The 18201-nt window shown below is 42.0% G+C and overlaps 1 protein-coding gene across 5 annotated transcripts in view; it reads right to left on the bottom strand.

Annotated features, from left to right (window-relative positions):
- Positions 1–18201, bottom strand: part of PACRG (parkin coregulated) — a 588369-nt gene that overhangs the window by 62272 nt on the left and 507896 nt on the right. Inside the window, exon 5 of one of the 5 annotated variants that reach the window (XM_011535461.4) lies at positions 4394–8289. The exons of the other annotated variants lie outside the window; for them this stretch is intronic. Coding sequence (XP_011533763.1) covers positions 8093–8289 — 197 coding nt within the window. The 3' untranslated portion in view covers positions 4394–8092. Of the gene's footprint in view, positions 1–4393; positions 8290–18201 lie in introns of those variants that run through there. 5 annotated transcript variants of the gene reach the window in all.

Genomic DNA, 18201 nt, shown 5'->3' with positions numbered 1-18201 from the left:
TCCTGGGTTCAAATGATTCTCCTGCCTCAGCCTCCCGAGTAGCTGGGATTATAGGAACACGCCACCATGCCTGGCTAATTTTTGTATTTTACTTAGTAGAGACAGGGTTTCGCCACGTTGGCCAGGCTGGTCTCGACCTCCTGGCCTCAAGTGATCTGCCTGCCTCAGCCTCCCAAAGTGCTGGGATTACAGGTACGAGCCACCATGCCTGGCCAGATTTTCTGATTTCTTTAGCATCTTATTTCTTTGTAGTTCTTGACATCTGAATAGGTCAAAGCAGCAATGGAGAAGAAACACACACACATACTCAGTCACTGGACATGATTCTTAGTCAGAATTTGCTTACTTTTAGTTTCAAAGCTCACTCACCATCTCCTTGGTGACCCAGCCTGAAGTTGTAAGCGACTGCACAAGAGTATAACGTAGTCACTACATGTAATATACTTTGTCTTTTGTTCTGTTAGGAATCAGACCCTTTTCCAATTAAATCTGCTTCTTGCCAACAGGTTAAAAGCGTCTTTGTGAATGTGTGAGGAAAACACTGGTGAGGTGTCCGTTAGGAGATAAACCAGTTGACAAATTGAAAGCTGGAGCATCTAGTTCACAATCCCTAAGCCAAAACTTAGGAGTGGAAAGATGACAGTCACGGACTCTGCACGGTGAGCCCCGCCTGCAGCACTGCCCCTCTGGCCTTCACAGCGGGGCTCTCATCAGCGCCTACCTCAAGCGTCACCTCCTCAGTCAGAGCCACGGGACCCAGCCCTCTCCGGCCCCTGCCTGGACTGGATTCTCTTCCTAGCAGTTACCATCCCAGAATCACCCGTGCAGTGATTTGTTTCCCCGATGATGTCGCCCCCCTGCTGCTCATCTAAACTCCACGAAGGCAGGGCCTGCGTCTGCCTTGTCCAGAGATGACAGCCTAGGAACGAAGGCCGGCGCCTGGCCGAGCGTCAGCGATGCTTGGGGAATATTCAGTGGGTGCAGAGGGCGTGCTCACAGCAGCAGGGGCTGCGGCCCTCACGTGCACCAGGCCTGTCTCTTGGCTCTGCTTCCTCCTCTGTGAGATGCAGTGCACCCGTCTTGTGGGGTAATTGTGAGGCAGGCAGGAAACGCACGTGGGAGCGTTTTGCGGTGTGGATAAGCAACACAAAAGGCAACACTGATCACCAGACAGCTCGGGAGGATTTACTGTGCAGAGACACCGTGCTTAGCTGTGGCTTAGACCAGGTATACAGGTGCCTTGTCTCCTTCAACCTTCATCCATTACATCGAACCATGTAACAGTCAGAGTTGATATTATTATTATTCCATTTGAAGAACCATGGAAAGGTTAAGCAATTTACCCAAGGTCGCTCAGCTAGTAGATGATAAAGACCCCAAATCAGGCCCCACGGCCCCCAGTAGTAATAACTAACTATGATCGCAAGCCCATTTCTTATTTTCCAAAGGCTATATCTCAGATGTCCTGGAAGTCTGAGCATCCTGGAATTTGTATTTTACATTGCATGCCAATAATGAGCTGCCACTTGGATTTCGTGCCCTAACTTCTCCTGTGGAGGTCCGAGCAGCGCAATACAGAATGGATGAGTAACAGGGATCTTCACTCTCATCCCTTATACTGTTGACCTCATGAGCTATGGCCAAAGAAGAGGACGATTAATACACACTAAGAGTGTTCCCAAAATATTAGCTAAAAATCAGGACCCCATAGAAAGCAAATGTTTCTGCCACTCAGGCTGCCAAAGATTATGATTGAATATTGGGAAACCAGTTTAAGATCCACTAAAATACATAATCATTGCATTCCGGGAAGTCCCCGACGTGTTCTCCATCACTATCGAATGTGCAACGACCTCCAAAGTGCAGAGATAAGGTTTCAGAAGTTCCCAATAAAGGCTGCATGATCCCAGTTCTTTTCCAATATGCACAATTTTATTTATTTATTTAAATTTTATTATTAATATTTTATTTTTCAATAAGTTATGGGGTACAGGTGGTATTTGGTTACATGAGTACGTTCTTTAGTGGTGATTTGTGAGAATCTGATGCACACATCACCCGAGCAGTATACACTGCACCCAACATGTATTCTCTTATCCCTGACCCCTCCCACTCTTCCCCCTAAGCTCCCAGAGTCCACTGTATCATTCTTATGCCTTTGCATTCTCATAGCTTAGCTCCCATGTATCAGTGAGAACATATGATGCTTGGTTTTCCATTCCTGAGTTACTTTACTTAGAATATTAGTCTCCAGTCTCATCCAGGTCACTGCAAATGGTGTTAATTCATTCCTTTTTATGGCTGAGTAATATTCCATAGTGTATATATATATATATATATATATACAACAATTTCTTTATCCACTCATTGATTGATGGGCATTTGGGTTGGTTCCACAATTTTGCAATTGTGAATTGTGCTGCTATAAACATAAATATAAATTGTGCTATAAAATAAATATAAATTGTGCTATAAACATAAACATAAATTGTGAATTGTGCTGCTATAAACATGCTTGTGCAAGTATCTTTTTCTAATAGTGACTTTTTTCCCTCTGGGTAGATACCCAGTAGTGGGATTGCTGGATCAAATGGTAGTTCTACTTCTAGTTCTTAAAGAAATAAAGGGCATCCAAATTGGTAAAGAGGAAGTCAAACTGTCACTGTTTGCTGACGATATGATCGTTTACCTTGAAAAACCTACAGACTCCTCCAGAAAGCTCCTAGAACTGATAAAAGAATTCAGCAAAGTTTCCAATATTCATAATTTTAAAAGATAGTAAAATGCAATGCTTTCTCCTAATTCTGCAGAAGCAGTGTGGAGGAGCAGAACTCCGGTGCATGGGGCCCCCGAGCATTTCAGCTGCTAACAAATTTATAGCCAAGCACTGTTCCAGTCTGTCTCATGACCAGGCAATCAGCGGGAAGGAAAAATATCTCTGGTTTTGTACTTCCTATTTTTCAATGGTTATGGTGCAAATTCAATCTTACAGCACATTTTGGTGGCGCCATTAAGAGGGCAGTCTGTTGCTTTGTTACCTCTGTTCTTATTTTATCAGAACTTTGTGTTGCTTCATTAGCTACCATTTACAAAAATGGTGCAACTGTTGTTTCCTGCAATGGACAATGTGATGATCAGAAAAATGTGTCTATCACCTTATGACCACTTGGAAGAATGCCACCAACTATTCACAAGAGTGGCAGTCCTAGAGGATCATTCCAGAGAGTTTGCCATGGACATTCCCTGCGGTGGGAACCACAATGGGCAAGGAGTGTGTGTCATCTGGTCAGCCTTTGTGCAAATACTTAGCCTCAGACTGGCCAGCTGGCGTCACTTCCCTTTTGAGAACAAAGGAGCATCCATGTTGGTTTGGCATAAAAGACACTCCAATTTAAACAACAGCCTTTTCTGACTCAAACTTCAGTTTGCACTGAGAAGCCAACCCAGAAGCCGGTCACCACGGAGCCGGGTGCCCTGTCATCCAAGCAAACTCACACTTCACAGTCAACTTCTGCTGCCAGGAAACCACAGAAACTTCGCTGGTTGCTAAGTCTTCGTGGCCTGGCATCCGACACAATCTCCACAGCACCCGGAGACCACTAGGTCCCATGGAATCTAATAACTTGCTCCAAACCAGGAATGTAAGCAGGCACAGGAGGCGAGAGAGTTGGCTCCACTTCCGGCCCATCAGGATCCCCCTTCTGAAAGGCTCATGCCCTTAACTAGAATTAACTTGGGACCTTTCAGTCATATTCATAACTTAAGGTTTGTACTGGTGATATGCACTTGCCAGCCGGCTATTTTGGCCCCAAACAAATCAAATAAATGTAACAAATGAATTTAATCATATTGAAAGGCTGGATAATGGGCATGTTTTTTTTTAAATGGACAATTTCTATGTTTGAAAATGTATTAGTATTTTCAGATCTTTTGAAATGATTAGCCATGCCATTTCCATAATGTTGGAATGCAGTGAGAAATTTGAGTTTGAGGGCAACCTCCACTCTACAGGCAACATAATATTGACCCAGAGACTTTGCGTGCATCCTTGTTTCAGCGTACAGGCCACTAGACATGATCAAAACATGTTTCTCATTCTGTTATGGCTAAGAAAGCACTATAAATTGAAAACTTAAGTGACCGACTTTCTATTGGTTTCATTAAGAACAAACCAGATTCTCAGCTTTGTCTTTTTTTTTTTTTTTTTTTTTTTGAGACAGAGTCTCGCTCTCTTGCCCAGGCTGGAGTGCAGTGGCGTGATCTCGGCTCACTCCAAGTTCTGCCTCCCGGGTTCACGCCATTCTCCTGCCTCAGCCTCCCGAGTAGTGTCCCAACAGACGCCTGCCACCATGCCCAGCTAATTGTTTGTATTTTTTTTAGTAGAAACGGGGTTTCACCATGTTAGCCAGGATGGTCCCGATCTCCTGACCTCGTGATCTGGCCGCCTTGGCCTCCCTCAGCTTCGTCTTAAGTGGACAGAGGGTCATGCCCTTTTTCTAGAAAGAAGCACATGTCATTGCTTACTCAAGGCTATCAGAAAACCTAATAGTTGTCAGATGTGAAATAGAGTTTTGGATTAGATTTGGGCTCCTGTTGGAAATTGGGAATTCTGTGGCTTCATGGGAAAGCAATTGCCATGCAGCACATCACCCAGAGAAACCATCAGACAACTTAGATCCAGAAAAGTATTCTGCTTCTCGGAATAGTGTGTTTGCATTATGAGGAAATATTTCTATTGGGGAAAATATTAGAATAATTGAGGAATGTGGTAGCACAAAATCTTTTTTTTTTTTTTTTGCATAAAATATGCACTCCCCTCTTGCCCCGCAAACCAACACTAGATATCTTGAAAGGGTGCTGAGCAATCCCCACACAATAAGCTTTTCAGTAAAGGATGGTCATCTGGCTATGAACCACAAGAAATGCTACAAACAATAGCAATTACTAATGCATTCTTTGATTCTCAGCGACAGCTGAATGAAACAAAGAAGGGAATCTTTCTTGCGGGGCACATGATTGTGACAGGCTCCTCACCCCACCCATGCAACATTCAACAACCTCTCCGCCTGGCACTGTGTGTCTCTTTCTTGCCATTCTCTATTTGCCCTTTGCAAAATATTGATGACCCTTGTTGCCATTCAGTGGGGCATGGAGGTAGCATTTTCTTGGAGATGGCTTTGCAGCATAGGAAAACGAGTCTTTGGCTTTACCTGGAAGTCTGTGGTGTTGCTGGAAGGAGAGGTTATATACTTCGTCAACATGCAGTTGTGTCTCTACCGTGCCAATGTTACAGAAGTGTATCTTTCAAAGGACCCTGGTTTTAATACATAGAATAAAAACCAACTTCACAGGGAAAAAGTAGAAAAGAATTTTTCTTAATCTGATTGAAGTTGGGGGTAGGTGCTTTTAACGGAAAGAGACAAATAGCTGCTTGTTTACTGATGAGATGGGACAGTGGCAGGTAGACGGTGAAGTAGGAGGTTGTGTTAACAGCAGGCTTCTTGGTGTCTGTTAAAGATTGTTTGTTATGGAGGGGGGTCCTAATAGAAATGACTGCAGCTTTGACCTGAGGCTCACTGAAGACTTTCCAGGAGTGCTTTTTAAGTAATGCTTTTAAAAATAGAGCGTGCTCCTGGGACCTCATCAAACTGTGGTCAAAGGAATGCTCAATATTGTTAGAAGCAGGTTCTGCTCAATACCAACTCCTGAACTTCACAATCTATATGTGACAGAAGATCCATCATGATGACAATTTTGCATTTTAATTTTTTAGAAGATAAACTACATAATATAAAGCACATTGCAATTCTTAATATCTCTTAATGCTTTTAATAATAATAATACCTATTTTTCTAAGGGAGTAGGAAACATATGGGAGAACATTCACAGAAGGAGCATAAGGAGCGCTCCTCCAGGGCTGTGGCAGGCCTGTGGCAGATTGAGGGTTTCTAGCTAGAGCAATATGAGTGGACACATATTTACACTAGCATTTCTTTAATGCTTTATTTTCATTGAATTATGAAACTCCCTTTAATTCTTAGCAATAAAAAATGCTGGTTATGTTATTAGGTAAACCTTCTAGAATGGAAGTCATTTCTTGGTTCAAGTAAGGATACCAGAGCACTCTATTCTTGGAGCGTATGAACTCAGCCCCTTAATGATCCCCCTTCATTATACTGCATTTTCTTTTGGGCCCTTGGCCATGATCAAAGAAACAGCCATTTGAAAAGGCCCACTGCATTTGCTTTACAAATACTGCTGAGGACATTGCCCTGTACTGTGTGACCTTCACTTAGAATTTTATCTTAGGAAAAGTCTTATTCTGTTAAAGCACAGTATACTCTGTGCTTTCCTACTTTCTCATGATAATGTTGTAACTGGCCACCTTGCTTTGGGTTTTTCTTTTCTCCTGTATTTTTTTCCTTGGTGCTAGGTTTTCTATTTTTGACTTTCATTGTATTTGTTTTTGCCTAAAGCTGTTTCAAATCCTTTGTGAAAAAATAAATATGTGTAAATGTTGAACAAGGAATGAGAAAATTTGTATGTAAGTGATGGCTTCTAACGTCACATAATCATCAGAAATGCTTACTGAGCACCCTCTGGGCAAGAGGCAGCTGACACGGAGTGAGACAGAGCCCCTGTTCTCACATGCTGCCTCTCTAGTTGGTGGAATCTTACAGGTATTAAGCAAACGGCTATGTAAACATTACATATTTCAGATGGTTGTAAATATTATGAAGAAGAAAACAGAGTGAGGGGATAGAGTGTGCCTGAGCCTGTAGGTCTGGATCACTTAGAAAGCCTCCATGTGGAGGCACAATTTGAGCAGCAATCCAAACAAAAAGGAGAAAGGAGCCATGCGCAGAACCAGGGCGAGAGTGTCCAGGCAGAAGAAGGAGCTGGTGCAAAGGCCCTGAGGCAGCATCAATCTTGGTGTGCTGGAAGAGCAGCAAGACTTCTGATGCAACTGGAGAATATCAAACAAGAAAGAGATGAGATGGGGTCAGGGAGATACATAGGGTGAGGTGATGTTACCTCTTATATGCAAAGGTAAGGGCACTGACATTGATTCTAAGCGTCATGGAATATCATTGGAGGATGTTAAGCAAGGGAGTGACAAAATCTCATTGAACTTTGAGAAAGACCATTCTGGCTACTGAGTGGACGATGGGCTGTCCCGGAAGCAGAGGGACTTTTTAGAAGCCGTTGCAGCAATCCAGGCAAGAGGCAGAGGTGGAGGCGCTGAGGGGTGAGCAGATTCATGAAGACCATGGAGTAGAGCAGTGCTTTGCTGCTGCAGAATTTGGAGGTAGGAGGTAAAGGTGAAGGAATGAGGACTTCAAGATAACTTTACGGTTCTTGGTAAATCATAGATAGTGGTCCCATGTAGTTAGGTGGCCAAAGACCTGAGTAGGGGCAGAAAATGCCCGGAGACCGAGTCAAGAGTTGTCTTGAGCGCCTTCAGTTTAAAAGGCCTACTGGACATCCAAGCACAGCGGCTGATTAGGAAGTCGGACACAGGAGTTAGAAGCTCAGAGTGTGTGGTGGGGAGAGGGGTGTCAAATGAGGGAACCATCAGTGCAGAGACGGTGTTGAAAACTGTGAGGCTGAATTTGAGATGGCCAAGGGAATGAATGCAGATAAATAGGAGAAGAGGACTGAGGCTCCATCTCTATGAACCCCGTGATCCATTCTGTTTCCTTAATGGCTGACTTAGAACTAACCATATTAACGTGCGGCTCTCCAAACCTGTCACGGAGACGCCGGCTCTGTGCGATTTTTGAATGAACAAAGCCATATTTAGTGAGGGTCCTCCCTGATTAGTATTAAAAATACCCCCAGTCTGATAATGTGCTAAATTATATTTGGCTTTAGGCTATAATTATAATTCAGGCACAAAATTTTATGTCTCTGAAAATGGCATAGTTTATAGAATCGATAGTTTCCAAGAGTAGTTTAACAGAATTAAGTTAAAAAGTGCCGCGAAAGTAGACTTTAAAAGATAAAGCCATAATAAACTATTACTAAATGTACGTAGAACATCCTAGGGGAAAAACAACTTTCACAACTCCTTGTTTTATTTAGTTTGGAATTAATTACAAATGATGAAATGTGTGACATTCATATTATTTGTTGCAGAGTTTAGTCTGGGAAGCATAAACTGACTTAAAATGAAGATTAGACTTTTACATACAATGATGGTAGAAAATGGTAGAAAGACAAGGAGCAAGTCTGGACCTCCCCACTTCGCTAACATGGAGGACAATTCACTTCTTTGTCGATGGGTTACTAAAAAGAGAAGCATAACGGGGAATTAATTTTTCTCTATTGAAGTTTTCAGCAATTTCTTACAGCTCTGCAATTTTTTAGTGGCTAAAATACTTTGTTTGCCAAGGTTAAAAATCTCATGTTCTGGCACCATTATTGTTTAAAAAACACTTTCATTTTAGTACTGCTCACTTTTATTCTCCCAAAAGATTACATGAAAATGAAGAATTAGTTTAGCAACTGAATGAGTTGGTGCCTTCGGAGGACAGACGTATTGAGAAATGAAGCAATGTTTCATGGAATCCTGAATGAGATACTTAAAGCTTCCACAGTATGGGACTTTTGATCTCCGGGGCTTGAGTTCAGCCTCACGAGCTCTTGTGCTGATGGGCTGGGGCCTTGTAGGAGGAAATATGGTCAGTGCTGGGCCTTCCTTTCGAAAATACAGAACACAGTGCATGACAAAGGGAGGCAGCTTATTCCCATGACAGAGGGGCTCTTAAATGATTTGTGCAATTGCAAGGCACGGCAGTGTATTTTCAGTGTCTAAAATGTGCTTGTAAAGTTTAGCACACGTTAGGTCTCCTTGGCCCGACCTTACAGAAAATACTAGATGATTCAAGCACAGATCCTCGATGAAGCTCACACGGAAACACGTCATCAATCAGCTCCACCCAAACTGAATGCAAATGAAGGAATTAAGAAAGAGACTTAAGAAAGCTTTTCTTTTAGGAAAAAAAATGATTTAAATGAATGGTATGAAACAAACTGCTCTATCTTGTCCTACAAAATGAAATGGAGACTATATTCCAGATTAGGACACTCAGTTTTGTTTGAAATACAATCACACATGGCACTGAAATTATTCGTCTTTGTGAATCACTGAATGAACACACAAAAGTGGCCAAAGACATTACAGACAAAATCTCTGTGTCAAATTAAAGACTACAAATGTAAGAATGCTTTGTCAGATGCCCACATGTTAGTAAATGCTTGCTCAGTCTCTGCTTACTCTGTTTGACTACATTTCGTTTTTGTACAGACACCATCAATCACGGACCCTGTTTATTTAACCAGGGTGAGATAGCTTCTTAGCCTCAGTTACTAAGTCTCAGCAGCTGGGCCTTGGAGACCCAGGTGAAATCTCTTCTGTTGGTTAAAACAAGGAGACAATTAAGACACTTGCTTCTCTTCTAAATTAGATAATAAATTTCCATCAGGTTAGTGTTTCAGGGTTTCACTCAAGTTTTTTAGACTCTAAGCATCTTCAGTTTTTCAGCGGATGGACAGACAGGACCAGAACCTGGAGGAGACCACTGGGGTGGGTTAGGTGGTGACTGAGGACCCAGAGAGGAGGAGCTGAGGGGTGGTCCACCATCCCGCGGCTCCTGCTGTGTGTGTGGGCGTGTAGGTACAAGTAGATGCCAACCAGCTACACAGTCTTGGAAATGAAAAGAGCCACTTCTGACACACACAGGAAGTGACTTGGGAGCTTGGAAATGTCCTTAATGAAAACCCCAAGAAGCTTGTTGGGGGTGCAGGCATACGCTTGGGTACCACTGGGCAACACAAACACAGAGTGTACGTGAACATTCACACGCTGGACACATTTCTACTGAAGGCATAACTTGGTGCCAGGCACATGCCCCTCCCCTTTCCCCGTGGAACTTCTGTCCTCACAGTGACTGTGTGGCACTGTCAGCAACAGCCAGCTGGGGGCCCAGGGAGACTTGGGTGTTCGGGACATTTGTTTAATAGCAGGCCCACAGCTTCAGTACTCAGAGTGGAATCAGTGGCACCAGCCAGTGATACATCACGTAACCTATGACTCCTGGACCACGCCTTGCTTACAGGCAGAAAAGTCCAATGCGGGTCATGGTTGGTCTCCCCAGGTTAATTTATTTGTTCAAACAAATAATGGCCTGTTATGAAAAAATAACTAAAAGTCACTTAATGAAGGAGGCACTGTATCTGTAGGGAAAAAGACAATTGCTTTCAGACTAAACTATCAGCAAAACAATATTCATTTCAACTGCATTTTGCAATTCATGATTGAAGCCCATTTAAATGTTGGTTTAGATCTCAACTCATTTGGACACAAAAGAAACAATTCCCTGTGATATTTGGAGGCATCATCTTCTTTTCAAGTAAAGTGAAAAATAAATTTTTTGCTTGCAGCCTGGAAACATTCATTGCCATAAATGACACAACTCGGTAATCTGTGAAGTATTCTAAAGGTGCTGTGGCTTACACATATTTAATTTTTCTAGTTACTTTATTAGCTGAATCCTTTGAGGCCAAAACATATTGGATGAGCAATCCTAATTTCCCCTATTTGTCAATGTTTGCTAAACCATAGGAAATTTGATATTATCCCATCACCCTTCTGTGCCTGGTGCTAGAAATGCTGTCTCTCACTTTTTGGCTCTTTTATTAGAAAAGACATTTCATACAACCAAAGAAAGATAATTGAGCCTTATAAATCAAGAGGAAAATGCTACAATGATTGCAATCTCCCAGTCCAGGGCAGTTTCCAAAACACATTTGAATTGTACTGAGGAATGCATGGAAAAGAAAATCAATGTTGCCCTATGCGATAATTTGCATTTGTTACATACACAACACACAGTGGCATTAATTAATAGAAGAATGGTGCTGATCTATCTGTTAGTGATTTGCTTTTAGTGCAATTCATCAGATGATAATCATTTCTCTGAAATGCTGTGAGGAGACGGAAAATGGAATTTCGACTCAGTAGGTCCATAGGGCAAGAGAAAAGATCTTTGGTTGTGCATGAACCTAATTTAATTTTCTAATGTTTGATCCCAAGTTTTTTGTTGCATGGATGAAAACAGTAACAAATTATAGCTCAATAAGTTTAAAAAAATCTTTTTTTCTTTTAAAGAGCTTTGCCTCAGCTAACATCATTGGTTTAAAAAAATTGTTTTAACTTGGATAAAAGCAATTAGGCAGTGACATGACTGTTTTTGAGTCTGAGCCCACCCTCACGTCTCCCCCTTCACTTTCTTTTCTGCCAGATTTACTCACAAATGGGTATGAATGTCAGGAATGCCAGACGGGGGCTGGACTTGGCATTAGAATGGATTCATCTGTTCCATCCCCAGCCCGTGCCCCCCCTTTGGGTTTACCATGGCCTCTCATTCACCTGGTTTTCCCCTTTTGCCTTCTACACACCCGCTTCATGGTTCTCAACTGGTTGCCAGAAATCAACCTCCTACCTTCTCCATTCAAAAGCTATAAACATGTACCTCAACTCAGATCACCCCCCACATCTACCCAGACCAAACTGTAGAGTGGCTCCCAGCTCTGTCCCTAGCCCTAGCCCATTGAGGGGTGGCTCCTGGTACCCTGCCTTTTCAGCTGCCAGCTCAGCCCTCCAGGTCCTTTTTCCAAAACCCTGGTCCCCAGGCATGTATCGTGTAAAAACAGTGCAGGGTATGAGGGCTCCTGGAGCCTGGGCCACATCTCCCAAGAGGGCCAGGTCAGATGATCACGGAAGGGCTGCGTATTACATACACACACCTGTTAAAAGCGAAATGAACATAAAGTTCAAGACTTAGCTTTGTAATTGAACCTGCCATCCTTTCTGCTTTTCTTGGTGTGTAAATCAAATAAAGACTTGAGGAGAAAAAAATGAGATTTTGTTGAAAATATGTTAAGTGAACATTCAGATATTTTACTGATTTTTTCCCCAATGACAGCATATCATAAATTTAAATTAAACTGTTGCAGTGTACAGGTTCAGCAGTACCTTTCACCTTTTTTCTTCCCCTCTCTCAGGTAATGAAATTTACATGGTATATAAAATCTTATCTTTCACTAGGAAACATGCCGAAAAATATCAAATACCAATTTTCTGTATAATTTACATTAAGAATTGGAGAAAGATTGGCAGATAAATATGTCACATAGACTTGAGTTGCCTTTTGAGAAGAATTAGAAATTAGTAAGAAAAGTCCGATTTTGGGGAGTAAAATTTCAAGCAGATGTTATGAGAAGTCTTTCTGGAACATGAGTGCTTTTATGGTGCAGAAGCAAAAGGGCAAGCCCCTTGCTACGGGCGAGGAGGGAAGCCTGATGCAGCCCTCGTTTACTTGAGGGGGGATACTGGTCGAGGTCACCGGGCAAACATGGGCAGAGCTGCGCTCCGGAATGGACCACGTTCCCTCCACAGGGCAGCGCCCCGAGGGTGAGGACGGCACAGTCGGCTGTTGATTCCATGAACAAGGAGTTTAGGGTTAATGACTCTACAGCTGAAGAGGCCCCACCGCGTATGTGCCCAAATCCAAGGAGGTGTTTAGGAGCGTGAGGTCTGGGTGAAAGTGAGAACGCAGCCCAAAGCAGGAGGGTACGAGCCCTCTCCCAGCCAGGTGGTTGAGGAGGAGGGGACCAAGGAGGTGGGAGTCACCCCACAGGGCGTCAGGCAAGGCGACCATTGGACCCCGTGACCTCACCCTGTACTCACAGACTCCAACACTCAACACCAAAAGCAGCTTTAAATAGTATAGATTTTATGGAAGTCTTCACGAGGACGGGAGTACAGAGCTTGTCTCTTAAACAGCCACACTTTCCCTAAATCTTTAAACAAAATTTCTGCTTTTTCTTAAATTTTCTGTCCCCGTCACAGCTTTCATATTCCATGGGTTTCTTTCTTAATGCACCCCCCAATCGTCCCTTGCACGTCCCCCCCTCCTCCTCCCAGACATCTCTCTCCAAGGCCAGGCGTTAGCATCCCACTCACCCCACAGGCCCGGCGGAGGCACAGGTGCGGCCCCGGGGAGCCACCACCGTCTCGGAAGCAGAGCTCTGGGAATAGCATGTGCGCGAGCCAGCGTCAGTTGTGTGTGTGAGTGTGTGTGGGGGGGTGGAGGTGTGAGTGTGTGTGTATGTGTCTGTAGAAGTAGGGGTGAGGGTGTGTGTATGTGTATGTGGGCATGGGGGTGTGAGTGTGTGTGTATGTGTATGTGACGATGGGAGTGTGAGTGTGTGGGGGGGGTGGGAGTGTGAGTGTGTTATGGATGGAAGTATGAGCGTGTGACAGTGTGAGTGTGTGTCAGAGTGTGTGTATGTCGGGGTGGGAGTGTGAGAGTGTGTGTGTATGTGAGTGTGTGTAGAAGTAGGGGTGGGAGTGGGAGTGTGAATGTGTGAGTGTGTGTGTGTGTGGGGGTGGAGGTGTGAGTGTGTGTGCATGTGGGAGTGTGAGTGTGTGTGTATGTGGGAGTGTGCGTGTGTGTGTATGTGGGAGTGTGCGTGTGTGTGTAGGGGTGGGGGGTGTGGGTGTGTGTAGGGGTTGGGGCAGCCGTGGGAGCAGGAGGGGCAATGAACAGCCAGCTGTGCCCACACCATCAGGTGATGTTAAGAAGGACAGGGGTTGCACTTGGAGAGATTGAGTTGTAGCAGGGAGAAGCAGCAAGGTGTCCACCTAGGGACTCCTGGACGAAATTCTGATGGAGCTAATTCTTACAGACATGATTCTGGGCAGAGGTAAATGATCAAGTGTTGAAGTGTAGATTGTGGAGTCTCTTATAGAGGTGGTCCTTGAAACCAAGACGCCAGGCAAGCATCTTAAGAATATTATGATAAAAGAAGAAGACTCATTTCAGTGGGCAGTAAGTATTGAATGCCAACAGAATGCACAGAAATATACTACTTGGAAACTTAAAACCGTGTGTTGACAGAATTTCCTCCAGTTGAAGGTTAGAAAAATAATCATATCTTACATGGTACAAATCTCTCAATCATTATTTTGCTTGTCATGAAAACCCAGAGAGAAGATATCATTAGCCTCATTTTATAAATGAGAAAAATATTCAAAAAGAATAAGTGCCTTGTTCAGTAATTTATCGAGGTGATGGGATTTGGAACTAAACTTTGAAACGCTTCTTTCACAAGCTTTTACCACATGCTAAGTGCTGACCACTAGGTCAGTAGTTGGGGATATAGACACAGACAAATGCCATCTTTGCTTCCACCAAACTCACTTCCATCATCAGAGATAGCAAAACAACATGGGTGATTACACGCCAAAAGTGAGGTTGAAGCATGAGATGGATTAACTCAAGTATGAAGGACAAAGAAGAAAGAGTGACTGATAGAAATACAGAAGAGACACCATTTTTTTGAGCCTTTTACATGAGAAAAAAATATTCTGGGAAGTCTAAACATTCTATTCTACAATACTGAGAAAAATAAAGATGAATGTTAATAGAACTCAAAGAAGAGTTATTCAAAGTCTAAGAATCAAGACTACGAAAGTCCTTGATGGTGGTGTTGAACGTGTTCCTTCTTTGTCTGAGACCACCAGCAGTCAACTGGCTAAAATGCCCCATGTGGGGCAGTGGGATGAAACGACTTCTTCAGATCTTTGACAGCAGAGAGAATCTATGCCAATGTCAAATCACTTCTTCCTTCATTATGCCAGCACTTTACAAAGATTTTCTCTCATTTGAACTAGATTCAAATTCTGTTCTGCCCTTCTATTCAAATTCTTCCTCCCAAGTATGATACTGTTATAAGTTATAGACTCAATCTAACACCAATACTGCACTTATCCTTATAAAAGAAGTGCCTTATGAGTTCTGGAATCAATTGGATTTAATTATTTACTGTTGTATATAAAACTCACTTATTGAAATAAAGTCTCCATTGCTCCCTCTTTTATTCCATTATATCATGCATATAAATATTTATTCAGCTAATAAATTTTATTTAAGATATAATACAAAACATTCTTAAATAATAGGAATATGACACTTTGACCATAAATTCAATTGTAGAGTAAAATTAATTCTGATGCTAGTCCACACCATCATTAACATTTTCTTTTTCAGTTAACCAAGAAAATATAATTTCAGTTTTACTAAAAGGGTTTGGCAACACTCCCTTCCACAGTGGGGCAATACTCCCTTCCACAGCTCTTCCTTCAAGCACATCCTGTGTTTAGTTGATTAATGAAAAGCCCCAGGAACTTTAGCTGCATATAAAATGGATATATCTTCTGACAGGATAAATAACACATGAAAATATAAGTAAAGCATCTTTTCATTGATGTCAAACAGGACAATGGGAACTGGTAACTATAATCTTTTCCTGATGACTTGGCTTAGAATACTGAGCAAAACATGTAGTAATAACCTATTAAGTTCAATAGTGTGAGCCATTTTCTGGTAGAACTTCTATAAAGAAAGAGTTTTCAAGAGAAAATAGGTTATAAAGTGATTAATTTGTGACCTTACACTAATGTAATTTATGGTGCTTCAATTTCTTTTCATATAACCTATCTTATGAGAACAGAAATGTGGCCTTAGAGACAGTAACTGGGGTGACAAAGAGACAACTCCAATTTACTTTATCTTAAAAAGGACATTATTATATTTTGAATAATGTTACCGTTGGCCTTACATTCATTTTCAACAAAAGTTGAGCATTTTTGTTTTCCTTAAGCAAGAGAAAACATGAACTAGAGCTAGATTTTCTCCCTATTTAATAACATCTAGTCAAATTAGCTATGTTGGTAGAAAATATGTATATAAAAAATACTTGCTAAGATAAAAATCCATTTACAGAAGACTGTGTCTATCAAGAAAATAAAATTACTGCAAATTAGGATGTATGCAATCCCAATATATTTTATGGAACAATCACGTGACCAAAAGTTATACTGTCAGACTAAAGAAATGGAGGGTAAACCCACCCCCTGCCAAAAAAACCCCACCCACCAACTAGCCAATCAAACCACTGATATATATTTAGGTTTGATGAAATTCATCATGCTAAGTAATTAAAGGAAATATCTACACATTACGTATCTCAAAAGCCTGTATCAAACCATCAATGATATAGTTTGGCTCTGTGTCCCCAGTCAAATCTCGTGTTGAATTGTAATCCCCAATGTTGGGAAAGGGGCCTAGTGGAAGGTGATTGGATCATGGGGGCGGAACTTTCCCCTTGCTGTTCTCATGATAGTGAGTTCTCATGAGGTCTGGTTGTTGTAAAAGTGTGTAGCACTTCCCCCTTTGCTCTCTCCCTCCTGCTCAAGCCATGTAAGATGAGCTGGCTTCTCCTTCAGCTTTTGCCATGATTGTAAGTTTCCTGAGGCCTCCCCAGCCATGCCTCCTGTACAGCCTGCAGAACTATGAGTCAATTAAACCTTTTTTCTTTATAAATTACCCAGTCTCAGGTAGTTCTTTATAGCAGTGTGAAAACGGACTAATACAATCAACCATTCAATGCCCCACTAAAACGAAGTGGCAAACTCTTGGTACAGCGGCACAGTCTCCACCTCTTCTTGCCATCTTTTCAGTCCCATAGCAGACATTTGTAATTGATTATGGCTCTTTATTCACCCGAGGGTAGGAAAAGACCCGGAATCTTGTGTAACACAGTCATATTTCCCATCAGAGTTCTAAAATGAGATGAAGTTCATCTGCACTTGTGTGAGACTAAATCTTCAACCAGTCAGTAGACAAATATTTATGGAGTGCTCAAAGGACAGCTATGCTTAGGAATACGTAGAAGAGATTCAACTCAGTTTCTGCTGAGATTAATTTCCAAAGGGGGAAAGAAGCTAGCAAAGCATAAGTATACATAAGTGAGTCACAATTACCAATAAATGAAAGAGTATTCAGAAGAAGGCCAGCTCAAGGTGGCACTAGGAGGAATGGAGAAGGGCAGGGTTGTTTAGGAAACCTACCTGGAGGTCAAACTACATTTTGGTTTGAAGAAAAATAAATGTGCTTTGGCAGATGGGAGGAGAACAGTTCTATTTAACATGATTTACCCTGAGGTTCATACAGGGTATGCCATACCCTGTGTGGCATATCCCACCATCTTTCAAAGTATCTTGTAGCCATTGCTGCCCTGACATAGGCAGAATCACAAACAGATTTTTTCAGATAAATAAATGCTTGGAGATCAGTCATATAACAAGTAACCTTTGGAAGAGCAGAAAGTTTGCCAGTTTTCCCAAAGCCTCTCTTTAAAAAAACAAAAACAAACAAAAAAAACAACTTTTTTCCTTTCTTTTTTAGTGTTTAGTTGTTACCAAACCAAAGCCTCTCTCTTATAAGCAATATTTGACAATAATAAAATATCAAACCACACTATAAATTGACTCACCAAGGGCAGAATTGAAAAAGAGAACTGTACTTGTTAAAGATTCCTTTGGAGGAGTGTAAGGAAATTGTGAAGAATTAAAAACAAATCCCTATAATATAGATGATAAAACCTTGTGAAATTGAAAAAATTTTCCAGAGAGAAATGTATAAGAGGAAGTGGACAATATTTCTGATAATTTCTCTTAGGTGCTGGCAAGCTGTTGAATTTAGGCACATTTCCTTGCTAGTCTATAGACATTAACACAGGGGATGAATGGCATGATCTGGCAAGAGGAAAACCCCTTCTCCAAGGAGAAGGACCTTGAGGAATTTGGAAGCAGATATTTCATATTCCACAAGTAAAAGAACACCATGCTCTCAAGACATACATTTTCTAGTCACCAACACCACCTCCTCTCAGTCAAGTGACATTTTAGTGGCAAGCTTCATGGAAGGCAGTTACGTACAATGGGGAAATTGAGAAATTATTTTAATGGAGCCTGTGTCTCCAGAAGATTATATGATGCTTTATCAATGGAGAAGAAATATATCTGTATATGCTTCAGGATTATCATTAGACTGTCACATGCAAAAGGGGAAATATGACAGGTTTGGGGATATTAGAGAGCAGCAGGAAATGTGGTGCGTCTGAACTGCTCGAGTCATGCCCACAACTCCCATTCAGCCGGCTTACGATGGAAGAGGTGAGCCCCTTCTCATTTCAGGCAAATTCTTCCGCTATGTCTTCCCACCTCCTCAGGGCCCTTGTACAATAGATTATAGCCTTTCTTTTTTGTACCTTCAGTTTCATGGAGCT

This window comes from Homo sapiens, chromosome 6, assembly GCF_000001405.40.
Source record: "Homo sapiens chromosome 6, GRCh38.p14 Primary Assembly".
Classification (NCBI taxonomy): domain Eukaryota; kingdom Metazoa; phylum Chordata; class Mammalia; order Primates; family Hominidae; genus Homo; species Homo sapiens.
This window is presented reverse-complemented; position numbering and strand designations above follow the sequence as displayed.